The sequence below is a fragment of the Homo sapiens genome, chromosome 2 (assembly GCF_000001405.40).
Source record: "Homo sapiens chromosome 2, GRCh38.p14 Primary Assembly".
Taxonomy (NCBI): domain Eukaryota; kingdom Metazoa; phylum Chordata; class Mammalia; order Primates; family Hominidae; genus Homo; species Homo sapiens.
This window is the reverse complement of record NC_000002.12, coordinates 109197012-109222099: the sequence shown is the minus strand read 5'-3', so window position 1 is coordinate 109222099 and position 25088 is coordinate 109197012. Positions and strand designations below refer to the sequence as shown.

The following is a 25088-nucleotide window of genomic DNA, read 5'->3' as shown; positions in this document are numbered from 1 at the left end:
TCTGTGCCTGGCTTGTTTCATTTACCATAACCACCTGCAGTTTCATCCATGTTGCTGCAAATGACATGATTTCATTCTTTTGAAAGGCTGAATAGTATCCCCTGTGTTTTTTTTTTTTAATCCATTCATCAGTTGATGGACACTTGGGCTGATTCACATCTTTGCTATTGTGACTAGTGCTGCAATAAATGCAGGGGTGCAGGTATCCCTTTGATACACTGATTTCTTTTCCTTTGGATAAATACCCAGCAGTGGGATTGTTGGATCATATGATAGTTCTAGTTTTCGTTTTCTGAGAAACTTTCCTACTGGTTTCCATAGTGGCTGCCTTATTTATGTTCCCACCAATAGTATATGTGAGTTCCCTTTTCTCCACGTCCTTAATCCCATTAAAAATTGGGGAAGGAAAGGAAGAGACATTTCTCAAAAGACACAGAAATGGCCAACAGGTTTATGAAAAAATGCTCAACATTACTAACCATCAGGAAGATGCACACTTTTTTTTTTTTTTTTTTTTTGAGATGGAGTCTCACCCTGTCACCCAGGCTGGAGTGCACTGGCGCGATCGCGGCTTACCGCAGCCTCTGCCTCCCAGGTTCAAGCAATTCTCTGCCTCAGCCTCCCGAGTAGCTGGGATTACAGGCGTGCACCACCACACTTGGCTAATTTTTGTATTTTTAGTAGAGACAGGGTTTTGCCATATTGGCCAGGCTGGTCTCAAACGCCTGAGCTCAAGTGATCTGCCTGTCTCAGCCTCCCAAAATGCTGGGATTACAGCCGTGAGTCACCTGGCCCAGCCAGGAAGATGCACATTAAAACCACAATAAAATATCACCTCCACCCAGTTAGAATGGCTGTTATTGAAAAGAAAAAAATTAAGAGAGGCTGACTAGGATGTGGAAGACTGACTTTTTATTCCAGGTCCATGGTTCCTCTGTGCATGACTTGTATGCACCTCACTTATTTCACTCAGCATAATGACTTCAAAGTTCATCCATGCAGCACGTGTCATAACTTCATTTCTTTCTAAGGCTGAATATTCCTCAACTGTGTATACATACCACATTTTGTTTACCCTGTCATCTGTCAGTGGACATTTGGCTATTATGAATAATGCAATTATGAACATTGGTGTACACATATCTGTTTCAGTCCCGGTTCACAATTCATTTGGGTATAAGCCTAGGAATAGAACTGCTGGATTATATAGTTAATTCTGTGTTCAAATTATACAGTAATTGCATGTTCAAACTCCTTTCACACTGTTTTGCACAGCAGCTGTACCATTTTATATGCCCACTAGCATAACAATTTCTCCACATCCTAACCCTTATTATCTTCTACTTTTTGGAAAATGCCCCTTCTAACAGGTGGGAATGGTTTCTCACTGTGGTTCTGATTTGCATTCCTCTAGTAACAAATGACATGAAGCATCTTTTCATGTGCTTACTGGCCATTTGTATATCTTTGGGAAAATGTTTACTGAAAACCTTGACCCATTTTTGAATTGGGTTTTTTAAATTATTGAGTTATAGAAGTTCTTTATATATTCCAGATATTCATTATTTACTAAACAATGATTTGCAAATATTTTCTCCCATTCTTTAGGTTATCTTTTCACTCTCTTGATGGTATCCTTTGAAGCACAAAACTTTTGCGTTTTGATGAAATCCAAATTATGTATTTTTTTCTTGTATTGCCTGTGCTTTTGGTGTCACACTCAAGAAATCATTGCCTAATTCCAGGCCATGAAGGTTTTTACCTGTGTATTCTTATAACAGTTTTATAATTTTAGCTCTTATGTTGAGATCTTTAACCCATTTTGAGTTAATTTTCTAGACCATGTTAGATAAAGGTCTGACTTCATTGTTTTGCATAAGAATATCCAGTTTTCCCAGCACCATTTGTTAAAAAGGCTGCCCATTCCTCATTGACTGATCTTGGCTTCTTTGTTGAAAAACCAATGGACCATACATGTGACAGTTTGTTTCTGGGATCTCTGTTGTATTCCATTGGTTTATATATCTATCCCTTATGCTAATAACATAGTTTTGATTACTATTGCTTATAGTACATTTTGAAATCAGGAAGTGTGAGTCTTCCAACTTTGCTCCTCCTTTTCAAGATTGTTTTGGTTATTTGGGGTCCCTTGAGATTCCATATAAATTTTAGAGTGCTTTTTTACTATTTCTCTAAAAAACGCCATTGGGGTTTTGATAGAGATTGCCCTGAATCTGTAGATCACTTTGAGTAGTAGTGTCATCTCAACAATATTAAGTCTTCCAATCCATGAACAAGAGATGCATTTCCACTTATTTGTATCAAAAACATGTTGTAGTTTTCAGTGTGCCAATCTTTCACCTCTTTGGTCAAGTTTATTCCCAAGTATTTTATTCTTTTTGATGAGATTGCAAATTGAATTTTTTATTTCCTTTTCGGATTGTTCAAGTCTATAGAAATACAACTGAACTGTGAGCTTTAATTTTATATTTTGCAACTTTGCCGAATTCATTTACTAGCTCTGAAAACTCTGAGAACTCCTTAGAGTTTTCTATGCATAAGATCGTATCATCTGCAAACAGAGATAATTTTACTTTTTTTTTTCCAATTTGGAAGCCAATAATTTATTTTCCTTCCCTAATTTCTCTGTCTAGAGCTTCCAATTCTATGTCGGATAAAAATGGCTGTTCTTCCTCCTTTTGCAATACTAAAATGTTCCTTGTTTTATTAAGTGATGGTGAAAATTTTTTAACATTTTACTTGGCAAATTAAAGAAGTAGAAACCTTATGTAATTACACAAAATGTTTTGGAAATAATACTGAGCCCCCCAAAAAAGTGCTGAGCAAAAACGGTAGTCTGAGAACAACTCAAATACATTCTCTCATGGAAGCTCCCAAGTTCAGGATCCTCCCATGCTCCAGGCGGTAGCCCCTCTATCCTCATTGTGAATGGGGTGTGAGCGAGAGAGGTGGAACTCCACAAAGCCAGTCATGTGCAATGCCAGTTGATGGAAAGTTGGGAACCATCCAAATTAAGGTCAGCTAAATGAGGACTGAGCCCCCAAATGGCACTGCAGCCAAGAAAGAGAGGTCAGTGCCCATAACAGGCATAATCCCAGAACAGAAACAGTGAGGAAGAGAGACACACCCCTCTACAAGCCTGGTCCGTGCAGGGAAGGCAGGGCTCTCACCTGGTTCTTGTCTTTCTCCACCTATATATTTTTAATTGCATTGATTGTGGGTTTGTGTGTTTGTGTGTGTGTTTGATTAATCACCTCTAATGTATTTTTAGCAAGGAAGAGAAGCATTAAAGAAACAGCAAATATAGTCAGAGCCCAAGTCAGTGGCTATTTTTGTTTTCACTTAGAGAACAAAGTGCCAAAGTCCAGCCATGATGAAAGGGCAAGAAAACACCACCCTCCCTCACTCCTGCTGGCCGGCAGGGCCTGCTCCTATGCCCAAACTGTGCATTTCTGTGTTGCTTTTTGGCTGAGAGGAGAGGTGATGAGGCTGTATTTTGACCGAGAGATGAAAAGGTCTATTGTTTGATTTTGTGGTCAGAAGGCATCCGTACCACACACCCTTCCATCTGCTCTTCTATTTCTGCCTAATAAGCAGCACCACATAGGTTTGTATAGCAGAAAGGAAGTGGAAACTGAAGCTCGTTTTGTTAAGCATAACATTTTCACTCAAAGACTGTTTCTAGAACATTTCATCCAGCAACTCAGAAGCCCATATTTTGAATTGAAAGGACAATTCTGGTGAAGTAGAAGAAATCCACACCTTCCTCTAAGCCACAAAAACGGGGGCAAGAGAGCCAAGAAAGTTTCAAATAAATACTGAAATGTCTTTTTTTGTGCCATGCCACATGAAGGACCCTGATGAAAACTAAATTTTGTCACGTGCCTCAGAAACTGGTGAGGCCAGGCAGGATTTTTTTTTTTTAATAGAACAGAAAAGGAGAGGACAATGGTTTTCTGTCTCTACTCAGTTTCCAAAAACCTCTATTGACTACTCTTACCACAACACAGCACCCCTCCCCGCAGCTGTCTGCCACTTGCTTCACTTGTGGCACCTGGTTCCATCCAAGCAAACTCGAGTCCGCACACCTGTGGGAAGGCAACCGGCAGGAGCAAGGCAGAGCCCTCGAGGGAAAGGTCCTGGCTGAGCTGTCTTGCAAGGCCACCCACAGCCGGGCCAGCTCCCTTGTGCCAGGCCACAACAGAGATCCCCTGTATGGGGGAGATGGGGGCTCCCCTGCCTGGGGGAAGCTGGTGGTGTCCAGCCTGCCCAGCACCACAGCCAGGCCAGCAATCAGATGCAGGCGGGAGAAGAATGATCTATTAGTTGAGTGGCCATAGTTATTTGGTGTTAGGCAACACCCCACCCTCCCCCAAAAAGGTCTTCGGACATCTGGTCTTCTAGCCGGTGAGAGAGCTTCCTCATCTCATTCCCATCACTGGCAGGTTGTTCTCATTCTGGTGGACTGATTCTGTTTATAACACATGCAGGATGTGGTAGGTCCTGGTAGAGAAAAATCTGCCGGAAGCTCAACATTCTAAAGATACTTGAAGTCTGGGGAAGCCCGGGATGACTTCTTCCTATTACTAAGATGTGGAGTGAGTCTATTTACCAATCGTGGCCATAAACCTGGAGCTGAGACAAACCATCTGGTGAGCAGACTAAGGTCAAGATCAGGGTGATGTTCAGATGGGAATTTGACCTGTAGCCTCATTCACGATATGGTAAGTGCAGTTCCAAATACGTATCTACAAAGAGAACAACCAAGGTTCTCCAAGGACTCTGTATTTGAAAAACCATAATAAAAGATACCCAAAAGGTTCAATGGAAGACAGAATTTTATTAAAAGAGTGATTGCTCCCAGAATATTGTCTACAGAAAACAACCCCAAGTGTCCATGAGCAGACGAATGAATAAACAAGATGTGGATGACCGTACGATGGAATAGGATTTAGCCTTAAAGAGGAAGGAGATCTGACACACACTGCAGCATGAATGAGCCTAGAGGACACTGTGCTGAGTGAAATAAGCCAACACAAAAGGATAAATACTGTGTAATTCCACTTAAATCCAGCCAAATTCAAAGAAACAAAGTAGAAGAGTGGGTGCCAGGGCCTGGAGGGTGGAGGAATGGGGAGTTAAGTGTTTATGGGGACAGAATTTCGGTTTGGGAAGACGAAAAGAGTTCTGAAGATGGATGGTGGTGATGGTTTCACAACAATGAGAATGTGCTTAATGCCACTGAACTGTTTGCTTACAAATGGCTAAAATGGTAAATTTTTATGTTATGTATATTTTGCCACAATTTAAAAAAATATATTTGTATGCCAATTTAAATCAGGTCCTAGCAAATGATCAGACAAGCATGTGACCCCACAGTTTCACCCTGCCTTGGGCACTGGCTAGAGAGGGCAGGAGGTTCCAGTGAGCATGCAGGGTGGGCACCCATCAGCCTACAGAGCATGGCTGGCCATCTCACCTTCAGGAAACGCTCTGCCCCACCTCAGGCTTCGGGCTGTGTGTTCTCTGCTGACTTTCTGTATCACAGAAGCAAGGCACTTAAGCTTTGCGGCCAGGTGGGCGTGCACTGCCACTTCTCCATGGATAAGCCCTGCACCGCCCTCAAGTGACCAACTCCCCTGGACTCAGGTTCCTCCTCTGCAAAGTGGATCTCACCGTTTTAACACAGAGGGTGGTTTTGGAGCTAAATAAATGATATGCTGTGAGGTGTGGAAACACTGTCCTCAAGGTGGGATCACTAAGCTGAGAATGCTATTTCCTTTAATCCCCTTCCCTTTAAGTCAGGGCTAGAGCTGGCCAGAGAGAAAGTAGTTAGGACCTGGAAGCAGGCAGGGAGGCAACAGTAGATGCAATGATGGGCAGGTGCCTAGTGGATCCCAGTTCACTCTCTCTCCCGACTCACTCCCCACCGATGCTGAGCTGGGAACCAGACCTCACGATGTCCCCCGGGTTCCTCCTCCAGCAGCTGACAGGCTCCGTTCTTCAGACTGACTGCTTGGCTGTCTTACCTGTTCCTGCCCCAGCTCCCCCATGAATGGGTGCAGTCATGGCCATGGGAAAATTCTAGACTTGGAAGTTAACAAGCCATGGGACATGGGCACCCAGCTCACGTGGCCGCTGGCACGGTAGAAGCCCAGTTCCACATTCGCAGCTCTGTGTGGACCCCACTCTGTATGCCGGTTCCTCGGGACTCCTAACATCTGCTTCCATGTCAGAAGAAAGAAAAGGAACAAACTCGTGCAACCTGAACACAGGGCAAATCCCAGCTCATCCCTCCATCCTTAGATGTACAACTGTGCAGCGATGTCCCCCATTAGATGTCCTAGCAGTGGCAGTTCACAGGGTGAGTCACACGGTCTGGGTGTAGGATTCCAGAAGCAGCAGCTTCTCAGTAAAATCGTAGGTGAGAGCCCAGCACCCTTCCTGGCATCCAGAGTCACCGAGGAAGAACTCTACCCAGAGAGGCACTCATCACAGGCAAAAAACTACATCAGACAGGGGCTCTCCCGAGAGGAACCCACATAGAAGCAGGAGTGCACTCCGAGTACACACTGCTGAAATCAGGGCCCGGCTACCTCCCACCCCTGTTCTGATGGTGTAAAGTGGCTTGAGGAGGGGTCAGCTAGCTTGAGTATTTTACAAAGCATCTGAGTTCACTGATCTTTATCAACGTACCTTCTCCAGAATGCACCCTCCCTTCTCTGGTGTTAAATCAACTCTCCTGATTTTAATCACAAAACAATTGTATAATGAAGACTTATTCTCTCTTTACCCATGACCCAAAGTGGCCTTCTCCCCTACCCTCCAGTTTCCTCTGCCCGTGACATTAGTAAGGGGGCAGGGACCATGAGGGGAGGTTACAGACTTCTTATTCCATAATTGAGCAATGCTCAGAGAGAGAGAAACACAGAAAGACACGTAGATGCTTAACACGGTCAATTGTGATGTGTATGGAGGTTAGTCGTCCCACTGAAGGTTTAACGCTGCTCATTTTTTCCATGGACAGCTTTACTGGTTAGAAGTACAAAAGCTGTTTTCTCAGATTATTTGAGATCTTACTCTGCCTCCACCAAGATGTGTGAGCTCAGCGACGTGCCCCTTCTCTCCTCAGCTCACTACAGCTGGTGCAGAGCTCCTGGGCTGTGGTGTCAGTGCCTACCACCCTCCAAGTCTCAGATCTCCCAAAACACTGCTGTCCGCGTCACCCCCAGCAGCCCTTGGAACTCAGTCTCCAATATACATAGATCTTGCTCCCCTTTAGGGGTGAGGACGCAAGTCCAGAGGGGTGAAGCCACAGGCTCAAGGCCACACAGCTAAATGTCACCAGAGTTGCAGCTGGAGTGGAGCCCATCTTCTGATTGTCCTGTCCACGGGACAGAGAGAGCCCACAGATGCCAGCAAGAGTGTCAGGCAGAGACGTTCTTCCAGGGCTGTTCAGATGTCCTCCTCAAAAAGGATTCCTGTTTGGCTGTCTTTCAATCATCCCCCTTTTGTTTCATGTCAATGAAATTTCTTAGTCCTTGTCTCACAGGTCTTCTACGCCAGGGCCTGGCTGGCTTGGGCTCCACTCCTTTTTTTTTTTTTCTCTTTTCTATGACTCTTTTTTTTTAATACTTTAAGTTCTAGGGTACATGTACACAGTGTGCAGGTTTGTTACACAAGAACTCTCTACACAGCACACGTGGCCCCGGCCTCCTGCTGCCCCCACAGCCCCAAGGCCCCTCCTCTGCCAGGGTAGCAATGCTCCCAGGAGAATAAGGCAAGCCCTTCTGCCCCAGCTTTTGGGGCCACTCCCTTTGGGTGATCTTATCTCTTGTGGTTTTACCCATAAACCACATGCTGACAGCTTTATTTCCAGTCACTTCCAGTCTGCGTCTTAGCCTCACCTCCAACAGCCTGCTGAGGCCCCTACCTAGACGCAGCATGGGGGCACCCGGCACACCCAAGACAATTGGCAGAAACACCCCTTCCTCCTCGCCGTCCAGTGACCACTGCCTGCCCTCCATTTCCTCCAACCAGAACTGCAGGGCTGGTCTCAGAGCTCCTCCCTCCCCTGCCCGCCACGTCCACCCAATCCACAGGTCTTTTGCAGGGACTGCTCCAGGCCTCTGAGGGCAGTCACTGAGTCAGCTTCCTCCACACTCTGACACCAGTGTCCCGGGAGGCTTTGCCTCATGGGCTTGGGTTACTTCAGTGACCTCAGAACGACCCACGGGCTGTAACCCTGCCCTTCCAGCCCATCCACCACACCACACCACACCCTATCACACCACACCACAGTGAGACCACGTCACGTTCCTATTTAAAACCATCCCCACGTTCCCCACTCAAGGTAAAGGATAAAGGCCAGGCTCTGACACGTGACAGATGAAGCCATCTTGACCTGACCTTAGTATGCCTGTGTAGACACACAGTTTGCTGCCCTGACATGGCTCAAAGGTGCCTGCTGTGTTGGACACAGCTGGTGTCCACCCAATGCCCCCATCTTCCTTGCTTTAAGAGCCCAGCCCCCTGTTAGGTGATAGAGGCTTCAGATGGCAGATATGCCCTTCTCCAGGCTCCCTGCAGATCCTGGGGCCACGTCCTCACCAGTGAGATATAAGGGGAAGTGTCCTGGATGCTTCTGGGAACACTTTCTTCCCTAATAAAATGAGGGAGGTTTGAGGAGCCCTGGTCCGTCCCTCCTGTCACCCAGCAGTTATCACTGGAGGACAAGATGCCCGGGCTGCGTTTGGCGTACACATAGCCTTATGCTATGGACACACCAGGGTGTGGAAGGGCAAAGAGGGAGGAAGAGCCATGTCCTGAGTACATCACTGAGCTCAGAAGCAGCCCTGGGACCACCTACTTCCAGAGTTCTTGCCAAGGAAGAGAATAAGCAACCGCGCCCATGTGGTTTAAACCCAGTTTAAAAACTGGGTGTTCATGACTTGCAGCCCAGAGCACCCAAAGTGATGCAACTGCTTGACTGTGCTTTCAGATTCCTCCGAGCCTTCCCAGGACTGCATCCTCCACCTGCTCAGAGTGCACTCCTACCCTGCTGCCGACACCTGCACACCGCTCAGCACAGGGCTTCCCTGGGATGTGTGGGCAGCATCTGTCTTTTCATCATCCACTATATTCCAATCATCTTTCTCCCCCACCCAACAGAAGTTCCATAAAGCCAAGACTGTGTCTGATCCACCCTTGTTCTTCCAGTGCCCAGCCTGGTATGGCACCTACCCCACACCAGCTCACCAGGAGGTCTAACTCCTCCAGCAGGGAAATACCAGGGGCAGAGGGAACTGACGGGTGGGGGAGAAGGCTGCTTTGGGCCACGGGCAAAGAGAGAATGGGTCTTTATTATACAACAATTAGTTCTGTGATTACAATCAGGTGAGTCCATTTAACACAAGAAAAGGGAGGTTGCTATCTGGAGAAGAAACATTGACAAAGATCAATGAACCCAAAAGATCTGTCAAATGTGTGGGTCAGCCGACTTCTCCTCAAGCCACTCCACTTGATCTCATTTCTCCAGCCAGCTGGGCAAAGCTACCTCAAGCCAACCTCCCTGGAGCTGTCGGAAAGCCTCACAATGCAGTCAGGATGGTTGCTAACAAATTCATTTTGAGACTTTTGTATTGTTTTTCCTTGTCAGGATTCTAAATGAAATACTGTCCAAGTTGGGATTTATAGTCACGTATAACCAGCCAAAGCAGTCCCCTACTTTCCCGACAACATGGTCAGACTCTAATTGAAAACTGCCCCTCCTCCATAGCGAGCCAACTGACTTCCTTCAGCCTTTTCTGGGCAGCCTCATTTCATGGAGTTGGAGGGAAGTGAGGAGTCAAGAAGAGGAGGAAGAAAATCCCAGATCAGACACCAGTGGCTGGTACCCTGACAAGTCATCCAGAAGCCAAACAAAACCACAGCCACCCAGAGGCTCGATTCGGACCATTGCCCGGCAAGCCGCACCAACCACCCATTCACCAGCTTACATTCCAAGTTTCGCTATCTCCCTGGAATTCCGCAAAGCCCACCAGTTACACCAATGCAGGTGCTCAATCAGTCATTTATTGAATTCAGTGGCATTCACATTCAGGTTTCTAGAAAGAGGTAACAGAAATGTGGGAAGGGGCTGGGTGCGGTGTCTCACACCTGTAATCCCAGCACTTTGGGAGGCCGAGGAGGGCGGATCACCTGTGGTCCAGAGTTTGAAACCAGCCTGGCCAACATGGGGAAACCCTGTCTCTCCTAAAAATACAAAAAATAGCTGGGCATGGTGAATGCCTGTAATCCCAGCTACTCAGGGAGGCTGAGGCAGGAGAACTGCTTAAACCCAGCAGGCGGAGGTTGAAGTGAGCCAAGATTGCACCATTGCACTCCACCCTGGGTGACAGAGCGAGACTCCATCTCAAAAAAAAAAAAAAGAAAGAAATGCAGGAAGGGCCGAAGGGCTCATGTGCATCTGTCTGTCTAATGCTCCCCACTGCTGTGCTCTCCAGCACGTAGCTGCCTGCTCTGTGACAGCCCCGGAGCTTGCTGATCCGCTCCTACTGGATACCTGGAAGACTGGGCTCCCCCTCCACCGCAGTTGCGCCCATCTGCATTCTTCTCAGACACGGCCCCTACTCCTTCCGCTCCATGCTTCTTACCTCGCCAGGGCTTCCCTGCTGTTTATAACACCTCCTGATTTAGCATCTTCTGTGAATTTCATTAAATTGCTGTTTACTGTTGCCTCCAGCATTATTAATAAAGATGTTAAACAAAATCCAGGCTTGTAACCAATGCCTTGCTGCAAATGGCAGGACATCCCCTCACCACCTAGCCAGCTGCCATTTATCAGGGTTGCCTCCTTGCCTTTTATCCCAGCCAAGGAGCAGCCCCCACCTGCTTTCAGGTCAGCAGGGCTCACTTCTCCTTTAATTGTGCTTAATTCTGCAAGTAACGTTTTCTCCAGAGGCCCCATAGACACACATAAATGGGCATATTAACCAAAAAGGTGTGCTCCCTACCAGACAGAGCAGAACAGACTCAACTGAAGAGCTGTCATCAACCCGTGTGCCAGGAGGAAGAAGGAACTGAGCAGAGCGGGTGTGCACCCCATCCATCCCCAAACCCAGCCCACTGGGAGGCTCTGACAGGAAAGGACAGCAGCAATTCCACCACGTGTCAAGTGGGGTTGTGTTTTCCTTCACAATTAAAATAAAGATTTCTCACCTAGGTTGTAAATAGATTTTTAAATTTAAAAAGCTACATTTTGTAGTGACTCATGCTTTAGAAATAGGTCGTGCTTGCCAGAGAAGCAGTCGACTAATTCACAGCATTTCTCCCTTTCCTCCCTGCCTACACCCAGAGAGAACCCCGGGAGGAAAACCCAACCTCCTTCCTGGGCCTCCCACCTGGAGTAAGCTCATCAGACCCCACCTCTCCCCTTACTCCAGGCCCCACCAGGCCCAGGCACTTCCCTGAGCTGGACACAATCCACACCTGCAGAGCCACCTGCTTAGGCCATTTGCCCTGAGCTCTTGAAAGCCCCAGATGTCCCATCTCATTGTCTGGTTGGTGTTACTCCAGCCACTGTCTCCCTGGGATGCAGCTCCAGCAGTCTCCAGGCTGCTGGGCAACTCTGAAAACAACATGTAGCCTCACTGTGCTCAATGCCTACAGACAAAACGAGGGAGCACGGAAAAGACCAGGCTTTCCCGCTTTGGACTTCACAGATCAGTGACATTAAAAATCTTGAAATATCATTTTTAGGTCTATACTCAAAAAAACTCAAAGCAAGGACTCAAACAGATGTTTGTACACCTACACGCATAGTGACATTATTCCCAACAGCCAAAAGGCAGAAACACCCAAATGTCTGTGAACAGATGAATGAATACACAAAATGTGGTCTAGCCATACAATGGAATATTATTCAGCATGAAGGAGGAAGGAGATTGTGACGCATGCGGCTATGTCGATGAATCCTGAGGACCCTGTGCTAAATGAAATAAGCCAGACACAAAAGGACAAATACTGTTTGACTCTGCGGTCCCTAGAATAGTCATTCACAGAGACAGAAAGTATAACAGAGGTTACTGGGGGGGCTGAGCGTGGAGGAGTTCGTGTTTAATGGGGACACAGTTTGGAAAGGTGTTGCTCAGAAATAGTGGCAGTGGTTACAAAACAGGGGGGACGTACTTAATGCCACTGAACTGTAGACTTAAAAATGGTAAAATTTATGTAATATATGTTTTGTCACAATAATAAATCTTGGAATACTGGAGTGTCCAATTTGTCATTCTACCAAGTAAGCACAGGAGGTGAACAAACCATTTACTCTCACCTAGGGTTTGTAAATAGATTTTTCCATCTAAAAAGCTACATTTTGTAGTGACTCATGCTTTAGAAATGGGTCCTGCTTGCCAGAGGAGCAGTCGACTGATTCACAGCGTTTCTCCCTTTCCTCCCCACCTACACAGCAGGGAGTGGATAGGAAACTCAAAAGGAAGGAAAATCTTCCCCATGAGAGCTAGGAACTTTCCTCAGATAACACACTGCACAGTTCTCGCCTCCCTTGCTGTACCCAGGCCTGCTCTCCCAGCTCAGGAGTGTTTGCAGCTCTCCCAACCCATGGCATCACATAAGCAGCTTGGAATCGGCCAGGTGGGAGTGTTTACACCCTGGAAATGGACAAACACTATCACTCAGGGCATCTTCCTAGGAAGCCAACTGTTAAACGTTTGCCAGCACACCACTGGAGCCAAGAAAACTCAGTCATGGTCACCAAAATCACCCGCGCAGGACCTGGCACAAGGGAATCTCTGAATGTGATGACCTCTCAGTTTTCCTACAGCCCATAAACAGGTGTTGATGCCACGGCATATGAGACCACCAGCCTCAGGTACACAACTATGATGCCCAGGCAGACCACAGCACAGAGGGTTTGGACCCACTTCCCAGTGGCAACAGTAGAAAAAGTTGGGCAACATTTGTGGGTTTTGTTTAAGGTACTGGCTGCCACGGAAAGTTGGTGTGGGTCTACAGGTGCTGGGGCCAGCACTGCCACTCTGGGTCCATATGTCCGTGTTGATGTCGGGCCTCTGTGAACATGAACCCCACCTGCCCATGGCCAAAGACACCTCTGTCTGATGGCCTGGATCCTACAGTCCTTCTCCAGATGCCCACACTGGCCCTCTTTAAGGATCTTCTCTAGCAGGCCAGTAAGAGAGAATGAACCTGAATTTGCCTTTTCCTGGAGATGCTTAAGTATCTCATGCTTGAGACATCTGCTCAACACATGTATTTCTAGGGCAAGATTCCCTTGACCTCACTTCCTCTGACAAGGAAATTAGACACTGGCATATTCCCACAGCAACAGTACAGGATTACAGAAAAAACAGTATTCTGGTTATCTATTGTTACATAACAAACTTGCTCCAAACTTAGTGTATTAAAACAGTAAAGTCAAATGACTGCTTACAAATATGCAACTTGAACAGAGCTTGGTGGGAACAGCTCTGCTGCAGGTGGGTCGGTTGGTGCTGGTGGCTCCACTTCCAAGAAAGCTCAATCACATGGAGCTTAGCTGTAACTGTTACTGGGAGCCTTTGCCCTTCTCCACAGGGCTTCTTGGGCTTCCTCACATGATGGCTGGGCTCCTAGACAGCAAGTGTTCCAAGATACAGGAAGCATAAGCTGCCCATCCCTGAAGACCGAGCATGGGAAACTTCTGCTGTATTTGATTGGTCAAAGCAGCCATGGAGCCCAGGTTTAAGGGAAGGGATATGCCCCACCTGCAGGTGGCAGGAGTGTCTGTGGATCTGCAATTCTGCAACCATATCGAATCCATCACATGAAGATGTGAACTAAAACCTCAGCTTTGCTCTGCCAGCAGAGCCAGGTAGGTGCCACAGGGCAGTTGCATGCTGTCTCAGCAGAGCTTAAGCTCAGACTCTGAGCCCATGGGGGCAGCAGCATGTGTGTCTGAGGGCCCAGCACTGTGCCCAGCACAGGCATTCCGTAAATATTTGCAGAATTGTTGAATTTAACAAATCGCATGCTAAAGTTTCTTCTTCTTTTAAATCTCACCAGAATTTAAAAATGGGGGAGGGGGAATGCTCAACTGTGTAAGAGTAAAAGAAGGAATTCCAGATTAGAGCAAAACTAAGCCAAGATCCCTGGGAAAATGATGATACAGGGAAACTGCCATAGGCCAATTTGTTAAATTGGTCCCCAAACAATATGAGGTATAGTTTAATTTTTTTTAAAAAAGAAAATTGTGCCATTTAAACTGATCAAAATCAGTTATAAACCTGAATACAGTTGATTTTAGCAATTTACAACATAAAATAATTCAGTCTCAGGTAAGTCTTCCTATACAAATGTTTTGTTTCCATGTGAAAATAGCTTTCCAAATTCTATAGGTGGCACCTTACATCATACAGCAACTGCACCCCTGGAAACAATCTTAGGGCTCCATTGCATCTTTATTTTCCACAATTTCAATATCTTAATAGCACACAAATAACATTTTGTTCCTAAGAGAAACACTGTTTTACCATGAAATTCCATGACATGCATCTCTCCAAAGGCAGATGGTTCTGCTGCATAACATTATTACATATATAATTACCTACATCACAAATATTTTCAAAATCGAAACTGCCAAGCCTTCTTGCCTGTCACTTTTTCTTATGTTGTCTCCATAGCAACCTGCTTCCCTCCCCCAGAGACAAAGAGAACACAGAAGACATCTTTAAATTGGCATAAATTAGAGACAAATTCTTTAATCAGACACACAGCTTACTCTAATGATTACCATACACCAAAATTATCCAGAAATAATAATTGTAACTCATAAAAATGAACTGCTGTAAACAGACCTGTTTGCACAAGATGAGAGCATAGTTCTAAAATGTGGCACTGTGTCGTCATTGCACCCTCACCCCCAGTTTATCATCCTCTACAGCACACACAGCCCTATCTGCCTTCTTCTTGAGCGCACTAAGCTCCCCAGGCCCTCTCCTCCAAATGAGCATGGTCAGGTTCTGCCTCAGGCCCTGAGTGGTTCTCACCTCCTGCAAATGCAGCGCTCAGCCAAACAGAGGTGTGTTGAAGTTCATTCCAGGCAACCATAACAAGCCACACATGACACAGAGACATGCTATCCCAAACACAAGCTTATGGCCCATGACTGGGCAGAAGGGGCACTGAGAATGCTCAGTCAACTTTGACAATTAGTGCAGAAATAGCAAATGCCAGAGTTAAGTAACTAATAGTGTCTCTCTCTTGTCACCCAGGCTGGAGTGCAGTGGCACAATCATAGCTCACTGTAACCTTGAACTCCTGGGCTTAAGCAATTCTTTGACCTCAGTCTCCTGAGTAGCTGGAATTATAAGCATACACTAATATGCCCAGCTAATTTAAAAAAAATTTTTTTTTTGTAGAGACAGGGTCTTACTTATGTTTCCCAGGCTGGTCTTGAACTCCAGCCTCAAGCTATCCTCCCTCCTTGACCTCCCAAACTGCTGGGATTATAGGTGTGAGCCACCACACTCAGCCTCCTCTAATTCTTTTTTTTTTTTTTTTTTTTTTTTTGAGACGGAGTCTCACTCTGTCGCCCAGGCTGGAGTGCGGTGGCACGATGTTGGTTAACTGCATGCTCTGCCTCCCAGGTTCACGCCACTCTCCTGCCTCAGCCTCCTGAGTAGCTGGGACTACAGGTGCCCTCCACCAAGCCCGGCAAATTTTTGGTATTTTTTAGTAGAGACAGGGTTTCACCATGTTAGCCAGGATGGTCTCAATCTCCTGACCTCATGATCTGCCCACTTCAGCCTCCCAAAGTGCTGGGATTACAGGCGTGAGCCACCGTGCCCGGCCCAGCCTCCTCTAATCTCGACCATAGTTAAAAATATAGTGCTGTGTCCCCAGAATAACATTCTACACCAAGCAAAACCTCCAGGGAGAGAGGGGTGGCTTGGGTCACCCATCCATTCACGTGCAGGTCATACAATGCCCACCGCGGAGGCTGGAAAGGCATCTCAGGGTACAAGTGACAGTTCACCAGGTTAGTCTCCAACTACTACTTGGCCTTGAAACACTTTTGGAGTAAACATGGTAAATCTCAATGTTACAAAGAGCTCAGAAAAACACACATCTACTTTTTTAAGTCAACAAATAATTCATAACCCTTCAGTTGGTTTCTATGAAAAAACAGGAAGCGGAAAGGAGAAAACTCCAACTTTAGGCTCAAGAGTATTTTACACACACAGTGTGCTTCCCTGTCTCTGATCCCCCCGCTGCTTCAGGGAGGCTGCTGGGGAAGGCTGCACAGAGCGGGGCTGCCTTCCTGCCAGTGAGCAAAGTGCACTGCCCCGAAACAACACCTCTGCCCAGAGATCTAGGGCAGATACGGTGCAGACCCTGACACCAACAGACTGAGCCATGTGATTCTCACCGTGGCCTTCTCCCATCTGATGAATATACCCTCTGCACCCCTAGAATGTAGTTTCTGTGTGAGCATAAAGAGTCACATAAGTTGGGCGGGGCACAGTGGTTCACCTGTAATCCCAGCACTTTGGGAGGTGGATGCAGGTGGATCACTTGAGGTCAGGAGTTCAAGACCAGCCTGGCCAACATGGTGAAACCCTGTCTCTACTAAAAATACAAAAAACAAAAACAAAAAATTATCTAGGCATGGTGATGCATGCCTGTAGTCCCAGCTACTCAGAAGGCTGCGGCAGGAGAATCTCTTGAGCTGAGATTGAGCCACTGCACTCCAGCCTGGACGACATGGCAAGACTCAGTTTAAAAAAAAAAAAAAAAAAGTCACATAAGTTGCTCTAATTTTTTTTATCTTATTTTATTATTTATTTATTTTTAGAGACGGAGTTTCACTCTGCTGCCCAGGCTGGAGTGCAGCGGCATAAACATGGCTCATTGTAGCCTCAATCTCTTGTATTCAAGGCATCCTCCTACCTCGGCCTCCCAAGTAGCTGAGACTACAGGCATGTACTTCTATGCCCAGTTAATATTTTTAGTTTTGTAGAGACAGGGTATCACTATGTTGACCAGGCCGGTCTCAACCTCCTGGCTTCAAGTGATCCTCCTGCCTCAGCCTCCTGGAGCACAAGGATTACAGGCATGAGCCACCATGCCCACCCAGTTGCTCTACTTTAAAAGGCAGACTTCTAAAATTATTTCCCTGGAACACAAAAAAGCCTTTAGTTTAGCCCCCACTTCCACGCTACAGAAAATACAGGGAATCAAGAAACAAGTTCAATGGCACCATCAAGAAATGACCCAATAAATCTAGAATGCAGGACATTTGACAAAATAATTGGCTTGGTCTCTTCAAAGGGTCAATACCTTCAAAAGCAAAGTAAGAGACTGCTAGAACAGTTCTCCAATGGGGCATCCTGCCTGCCAGCAGGTCCCTGGCAATGTGTGGGTTGTCACACCTGGTGGTGGAGTAGGTGGCGCTGCCGGCACCTGGAGGATGGAGGCCAGGGACGCTGCTGAACACACCCATTTATGTGTACATTGTACATTGCACACAAATATATGTACAATGTTGAGAAACTAGTCTAGAATAAGGGAGATTGGAGGGGCATAACAAAAGCCACAAGTGAACCCAGTTTTAACAAAAACTACAGCAGATTTTTAAGGGACAATCAGGAAAACCTGAATGTGAACTGGTATTGATAATGATTTAAAAGATAAGATAAGGAGATTCCTGCTAACTCTCTTAGGTGAGATAACAGGATCACAGAAGAGTGCCCTTATTCTGCAGAGGTGTCTGCTAAATTATCTAGGAATGAAGCAACAGGGCATAAGCAAAGTAAGTTTCATGGTTCACCCAAGACAGACAGACAGACATACAGACAGATAAAAGGAAAGAGCAGATGTGGCAGAGTTAATGGCTGAATCTAAATGGAGAAGAGACAGACCTTCACTGGATTCTCCTTACCCTCTTCGCCTTGTCTGAGACTGTTCATGACAGCCAGTGGGCAGGAGGTGCAAATCCAGGCATTTTTCGAATGGCCTCCTGACGTCTCAAAGATATAAACTACTCGGGTTTTCACACTCAGAGCCCCTTCAAGCCCACAAATGCTTCACACTGGAGCACCGTGCAGATGCTCTGCTGGGAGGCCTTGGGGCCACAACAGCACACACATCAGCCCTGCCATCAAGGGCTGCCAGGCCGCACAGGGAACAAGAAGGGCCCAGGGGTAGGTAGCGAGGCACCCACACAAGAGAGCAAACGCTTCAGAGTCGAGGCGTGCATGAGACAAAGGGCAGGAATGGATGGACCGAGGGTGTGAAAGGTATGTGGGTTCTGTGGGCTGGGCAGAGCATACCCATGGAGAGAAGATGGGGCTCCAGGCCCAGGGGGTGGAAGTGCAGGGTGCACAGAGACACAGGGCCAGGACACTCACATGGGGTGCACAGAGACAGGGCCACGATGCTTGTCGTGCAAAGGGAAAGTGGAGAACAGTGTTCCAGAGAGCTGGACGAACCACATGGAGCAGTCCCAGAGGGCTCCAAATGCATGCCCTGGGATCAGAGCAACTGCATTCAGGAGGCAATGGGGAGCGGTGGGACTTAGGAACTAAGAAGCGACTTAAAGAATATGTCATGGCCAGGGATACAGTGATCGCCTGACCACAGGTGATGCGCTCGTAGGGACGCGGAAACACCCTCCCAAGGCCATCCGTCTCACAACAGGGCAGCATAAGGACTAGCAAGCTCCGCCGCATCTGCGCCACTGTCTGCTGCGTCCACCTGAGAGAGCCACCTGTAGCCTCTTAATTACAGCCACACAGCCTGCCTCATCCTGATGCTGCCCTGGGGCTCTCTGAAGAGGCTCCTGGCTCTCTGCAGGGTCCTTCTTGCGGGCAAGGCATCCTCAATGAGGATGTCACTCAATGAGTGGACAGTGCTCCTTGACTGCTGAGGACACGGACAGGCCCAGGGCACCGTGCAGGGCCACCAGTGTTCCAGGCTCGACGGAGCTTCTGTAGCCTTTGGAGCCTCTTCCCCTCCAATCACTGTAGGACCATGGCCAGGCCAGTATCCTCAGGCCCAAGTGTTACCTTGTTAGGCACAAGTGTTATCCTCAGGCACAAGACCAGCTCCCATTGTGTTTGCATTCCTTCCATGACACCTACACTCTAAAACATTACTATCGGGACAAAACTGTGCTAATCAGCCAAGCAGTTGTTCAGTCCATAAATTCTGCAACACTTAAAGTTGGGCCCTTTCCCGGGAATGGGGCTCTCGACCCCCTTTGCTTAAATGTGTGTATGATCCTAAGAGCTCCATAGTATGGGAAGGGCTGTCGACAGCCCCACGGGAAGGCCGTGGCGTTTCCAGATGGGGAAACTGAGGCTCAGGGAGAGAAGGTGCTCACCCAAGGCTGTGTGCTGGCTGTTTTCCCAGGACCCAGGTTCCTGGGGCCGGGCTGACGCCTCACCCTCTATGCTCTGAAAAAGGAATTCTCAATTTTTAAAGAATAATCACTGCTGACTGCTGGGAGGGGAAGGAGAAAGCAGCCATGCTGACCACCCACCAGCTACCCAGACATGTGAGGAACAAGAACGCGCCCCAGGGACAAAGAGAAAAAGTACTGTGTAATTGTAATTGTACTACATTTAGTAATTGTACTAAAAAGTACAATTAAGTTCGGGCAATTAGGTGTCCCTTCACAAAATCTCAAACAGAGAGTGGAAAGCCCAAAGCAGCCGAGACACACTCCTAGGGAGTTTCATTATCCATCGCTCCCCTCCGAGGGGGTCCAGACGCTGCCGAGATGGACCTGGGAGGCAGCACTGGAGGCAAGGTGGGGGCCGCATCCTCACTCTGCAGTCCACAGGTGGCTTGGGAAACAAGGGAGGGAAGAGAAGGGTTGTTTTCTTCCCCGTGTTCATCTACAAGCTGTAAGTGCGTCCATATGCTGATCTGTCAAGATGAGAAAGTGGCCGAGATCGCCTCGAGGGGAGGCTGTGTGCCTCCTGCCAGCTGTGCTGTCACGAGACCCAGCCAGGCTCCAAGGCAAATACAATGTGGCCTAGGTTCTGTGCCTGTGTCCCGTTTCCTTTGGACATATTACAGGTTACTTTAATTAAAACATTTGCTTCTCCACCAGTTTTTTTATGATGCCACGGGTCCTTGTATTGATTTCAGATGTGTCAGACTCATTGGTAGGAGGCTTAGCAACACAGGACATAATTCTCCCTGGAGGGAGGGCACTATGCCCCATTTAAATAACCCAAGAGATCAGCTGAGCAGCATTTATACCCACTTCCCAAAGCTCATTTCCTACCAATGCTCCTTTCACCGCTTGGCTGTGCCCCTGGGCTGTACGTGGCTCTCCATGCAAGGCGCAGCGTTTCCCATGCTGCTGACGGGCTGGAGAAGTGGGCAGACACTTGCCTCCTGACACAAACGTCCCAAACGAAGGCCATGCTGTGAGAGGCCCGGCATGGTCCCAGATCACACTTTCAGAGACCTCAAAACTGAAAGAGGAGGAGAGCAACTTCCAAACCAGGGAGGGGAGACCCTAGCAGGAGACAGCAAGGGTGGCCTGGGGTAGCCAGGGGGAGAGAGAGATAAGAGAGAGAGAGGTGGGACTGCTGGCCTGTGGCGGCTGAGATACCTGGATGTGTGCCTGGAGACAGAGAGATCCGGGAAACAGCCTGCACACAGGCAAGGGGCCAAGGCCCAAAGCCCAGGCCATGTACCTGTGGGTTCTAGGTCACAGATCAGGGAGGCCTGTGGGAGAGTGGGGCTGGGGTCTGTCTGTGAAAGGCTTCAAATACAAGGCCAGCAAAATTTTCACTTTGCAAAATGAGTTTTTAAGTGCAGAAGAGGCAAAACTAAAGCATCATTTCAGGACCGTGCATCTTGCAGCCATGCAGAGGCCGCCGGAAGGAAGACGTGTGAAGCCAGAGCCGTACCTGATATAAAATAAGGTCTGTGCTGAGGGACAGGGGAGAGAACTGAGAGTCCCTGAGCACGGCTGCTTCAGCCTGGAGCTCCAGCTCACAGGGTCCCACCCAGGTCCCCACAGCCACTTAGCTGCTGCTGCTGCCCCTTTGTCCCCAGCAGCAGCCCGGGTGCCAGTGTGGGTGGGCCCCGGGCCACTGCGAGGTCTGCACTATCCCAACAGCACCCAGGGCCCAAGGAGGAGTGACATGAAACAGCACATAGGAAACCCCATGACAGGCTGAGAGGCCGCACTTAGGGGAAAAGCTTTTCTCTTGTCCTGTGAACTCAGGGCCCTGTGTTTTTCTTCTGTGCTCAGCCGGCCCTAAAGGACCTGGTCATGGAGTGGGCATGAGGGGTGAGGAGGGGCAGCAAGAAATAGAGCCTGTGAGCAGGTGAACCAACCGGAGTGCAGGGACACCAGGAGAAAAGAGGCCTCCAGCTTGGCCAGGTAGGGGTGGGGCAGGCTGCTGGGACAAGCTCACTTTAAGAGGCTGTGGCATCTCCAGGTGGAAAAGGTCGGCGGTGCCTAGAAGAGCAAGGCTGGAGGCCGGGAGCCTGGAGGCTCTGCACACAGGGCAGAGTCGGAGGCTTGGACCCGCCGACTGAGCAGGACACAGGGGACTACAAAGGAAATGAAGGTCACAGCCATACCCAGGGACCACACAGGACACAGAAGCCATCAGAGATGGAGGGAAAGAGAGAAAGACAAGGCAGATGACAGAAAACCACAGGCAACCCCACGAAGGAGCCTATGGAAAGGAGGCTGCTAGTGAGTTCTGCGGCAGGGTCTGGGAAGGCCTCTGAGCAAACAGACGCCCACTGAGAACACCTTGCTGAAAGCCCCAACTACAGGTGCAGGATAGGGCCCCTCTGGCGACTCTGCAGATGGGGTGTTCTGGAGTTTCTTATTCTGTTCTCTTGTAAACTAGAAATATTCCATACCAACAAAGTCACCTTAGGAGCATGTGGAGCATGTCCGTAACATTTCCTCCACATCACTAGGGCTTGGAAGGAAAATGCTGGTTTCTTACCCTGGCCACTGGTGACATTTCTCTGTGGGGGGCTGTCCCATGCATCACAGCATGCTCAGCAGCACCCACCCCACCTTAGCTGTGACAACCAAAACTGTCCCCAGACACTGCAAACGTCCCTGGGGACACGTGCTGTACAGCGGGTGCTATAGACTGAAGGTTGTGTACACTTAAGCTTTCTACATCTAAGCCCTAATCCCCAAGACAATTTTGTTATTTCCATTCCATTCCATTCCATTCCATTCCATTCCATTCCATTCCATTCCATTCCATTCCATTCCATTCCATTCCATTCCATTCCATTCCATTCCATTCCATTCCATTCCATTCCATTCCATTCCATTCCATTCCATTCCATTCCATTCCATTCCATTCCATTCCATTCCATTCCATTCCATTCCATTCCATTCCATTCCATTCCATTCCATTCCATTCCATTCCATTCCATTCCATTCCATTCCATTCCATTCCATTCCATTCCATTCCATTCCATTCCATTCCATTCCATTCCATTCCATTCCATTCCATTCCATTCCATTCCATTCCATTCCATTCCATCCCATTCCATTCCATCCATTCCATTCCATTCCATTCCATTCCATTCCATTCCATTCCATTCCATTCCATTCCATTCCATTCCATTCCATTCCATTCCATTCCATTCCATTCCATTCCATTCCATTCCATTCCATTCCATTCCATTCCATTCCATTCCATTCCATTCCATTCCATTCCATTTTACTTTTTGAGATGGAGTCTCACTCTGTCACCCAGGCTGGAGTGCAGTGGCATGATCTCGGCTCACTGCAAGCACCTCCCGTAGCTGGGACTACAGGCACCCGCCACCACGCCTGGCTAATTTTTTGTATTTTTCGTACAGACAGGGTTTCACCGTGTTAGCCAGGATGGTCTCGATCTCCTGACCTTGTGATCCACCCGCCTCAGCCTCCCAAAGTGCTGGGATTACAGGCATGAACCACCATGCCTGGACCCCCAAGACCATTTTTTAAGTGGAACTGTGTAGAAAAACTCAAGACGGTGCTTAAGGCCACCATGTAAATACAGTCACACACCACGTGAAGACCTGCAGTCCATGATGACTGCATATACCATGGGGTCCCATAAGACTGTATTTTTACTGTACCTTTTCTGCATTTAGCTACGCAAACATTTGCCACTATGTCTCAACTGCCTACGGTGTTCAGTATAGTCACATCCTGCACAGGTCTGCAGCCGGGGAACACAGGCTGTGCCACGTAGCCTAGGTATGTCAAAGGCTGTACTTCCTAGGTTTGGTATCAGGAGGTGAGGCCTTTGGGAAGGTGATTAGGTCATGAGGGTGGAACCTTCACGAATGGGATTAGTCCCCTTTTAAGAGACACGAAAAATGTTCTCTGTCTCCACCATGTGAGGAGCAAGACACTGGCTGTCTACAAACCAGGGAGACAGCCCTCACTGGGAATGAGACCTGCTGGAAGCTTGACCTTGAACTTCCCACCTCCAGGACTATGAGAAACAAACATCTCACAGAAATCGATGTCTGCTGTTTAAGCCACACAGTGTGTGGTATTTTGTTATAGCAGCCTGAGAAACTCAGACAGCTATCATCCTCCAATCTGTGCTGGGCAGGGTACCCAAGAGGTAGCCCACTGTGCCCCTCTACCTCTCGCACACACCCCTTGCTCACTGAGTTTTGTTTAAGTTGTCACAAGGATGTTTGAAGTGATCCTGTCTTGCACTGTTGATAATTTATTCCTCAGGGTCATAAATTCCTGTCATTTAGAGATGACACTGCAGCTGTGATCTCACAGGGCTTAGATCACAGGCTGGCTGGCTGGTTTGCTTCGATTTACAACCTATGCAGGCCATGTCTTGAGGGTTCCAGAAGGTCCCTGCTGTGGCCATCCCTGCACTGGGCAGGACTTCTAAGTGTTCTGCTTAGGGTACTGAGAGACTTCAAATGTCACAGCAGGCTCCACACTCCCGAGCACCCCCAACTGACACACTGCATGGGGACTGGGCTTAGCCACAACTCTGCTGGAAACCTGCCGCTTACTTAACTACAGGTCAACTCTGTGAAAAACCTCAACCCCTCTGACCTCCTGGGCCTCACCCAGATGCCAAATAACCAAGGCTGCCCAAGGGGCCAGCTACATACTCTGTGGGATTTGATGCAAAAGGCAAGTGCAGTCTTCTGTGCAAAAAGCAAAAGTAAGGCTTTTTCCTTTCTCCTGGAGTTCCTCCCCAACCCACCATAGCATTTTTTTAATTTGCTATTTCATGCCAGGCTTCCTCAGGCAGGGCCAGTGCAGAGCCTGATAGGGGCCAGGGCCACCCTTCTACTCCAGCAAGGCACACACCCGGCCCTACTGGGCCCTGGCAGGCTTACTGTCCCAACACATCTCACAAAACACAAATGCAAAGGTAAATATCCAAGAATCTCAAAACAGCAACTGCAGAGCATTAAACCCCAAGCACAGGTCCCCCTAAAAGGGCCTCCCACCCCTCCCCGGCCACCTGCATCAAGGGTGGCTGTGGGAATATGGGCATCTGACTCCTGAGTAGCCTTCACAAATAGGGTCTCATTTGCTGGGGTTGGGGAGAGCCTCACCCCCATTTACTGATGAAGAAACAAGATAAGAGAAATTAAGCCACCAGCCCGAGGACAAACAGCTTGCAAGTGGCAGAGGAAAGACTGAAGTCCAAGTGGGTCTGGCCCTTCCCTTCCCTTCTTAACCCCTCCTGTGTCAGGCAGAACAGCAGCCCTCCCAGAATGAGGCCAAGTGCATCCCAGCATCCCTAACGACCAACGAATTACCCTGGCAGCCCCCTGACCTGGTCCCTGAGATTCTGCAGTGAGTTGGCAGGAAGGGCAACAAGACTACCGCCTTCCTGGGCCGCAGGGCTGCAGCAGGAGCTCAGGAGCCATCTGCACAGGTTCAAACCCAACCTCTGCCTCTACTAGCTGTGTTGCCTTGGGCCAGTTCTTCCACCTCTCTGTGCCTCAGTGTACTCATCTGCAGAAAAGGGAAAACAGTGGCACCCACTCACAGGGCT

The 25088-nt window shown here is 48.1% G+C and overlaps 2 protein-coding genes across 3 annotated transcripts in view, besides 2 other annotated features; both read right to left on the bottom strand.

Moving 5' to 3' along the window:
- Nucleotides 1–25088, bottom strand: part of RANBP2 (RAN binding protein 2) — a 1122820-nt gene that overhangs the window by 620202 nt on the left and 477530 nt on the right. The gene's annotated exons all lie outside the window — the stretch shown is intronic.
- Nucleotides 1–25088, bottom strand: part of SH3RF3 (SH3 domain containing ring finger 3) — a 375430-nt gene that overhangs the window by 282535 nt on the left and 67807 nt on the right. The window lies entirely within an intron of this gene.
- Nucleotides 7837–7886: an enhancer, noted in NCBI's record as "active region_16355". NCBI's record gives its function as "activates an Ori minimal core promoter by ATAC-STARR-seq in GM12878 lymphoblastoid cells {active_cell/tissue: GM12878}" and the evidence as "EXISTENCE:reporter gene assay evidence [ECO:0000049][PMID:35858748]".
- Nucleotides 7927–7976: an enhancer, noted in NCBI's record as "active region_16354". NCBI's record gives its function as "activates an Ori minimal core promoter by ATAC-STARR-seq in GM12878 lymphoblastoid cells {active_cell/tissue: GM12878}" and the evidence as "EXISTENCE:reporter gene assay evidence [ECO:0000049][PMID:35858748]".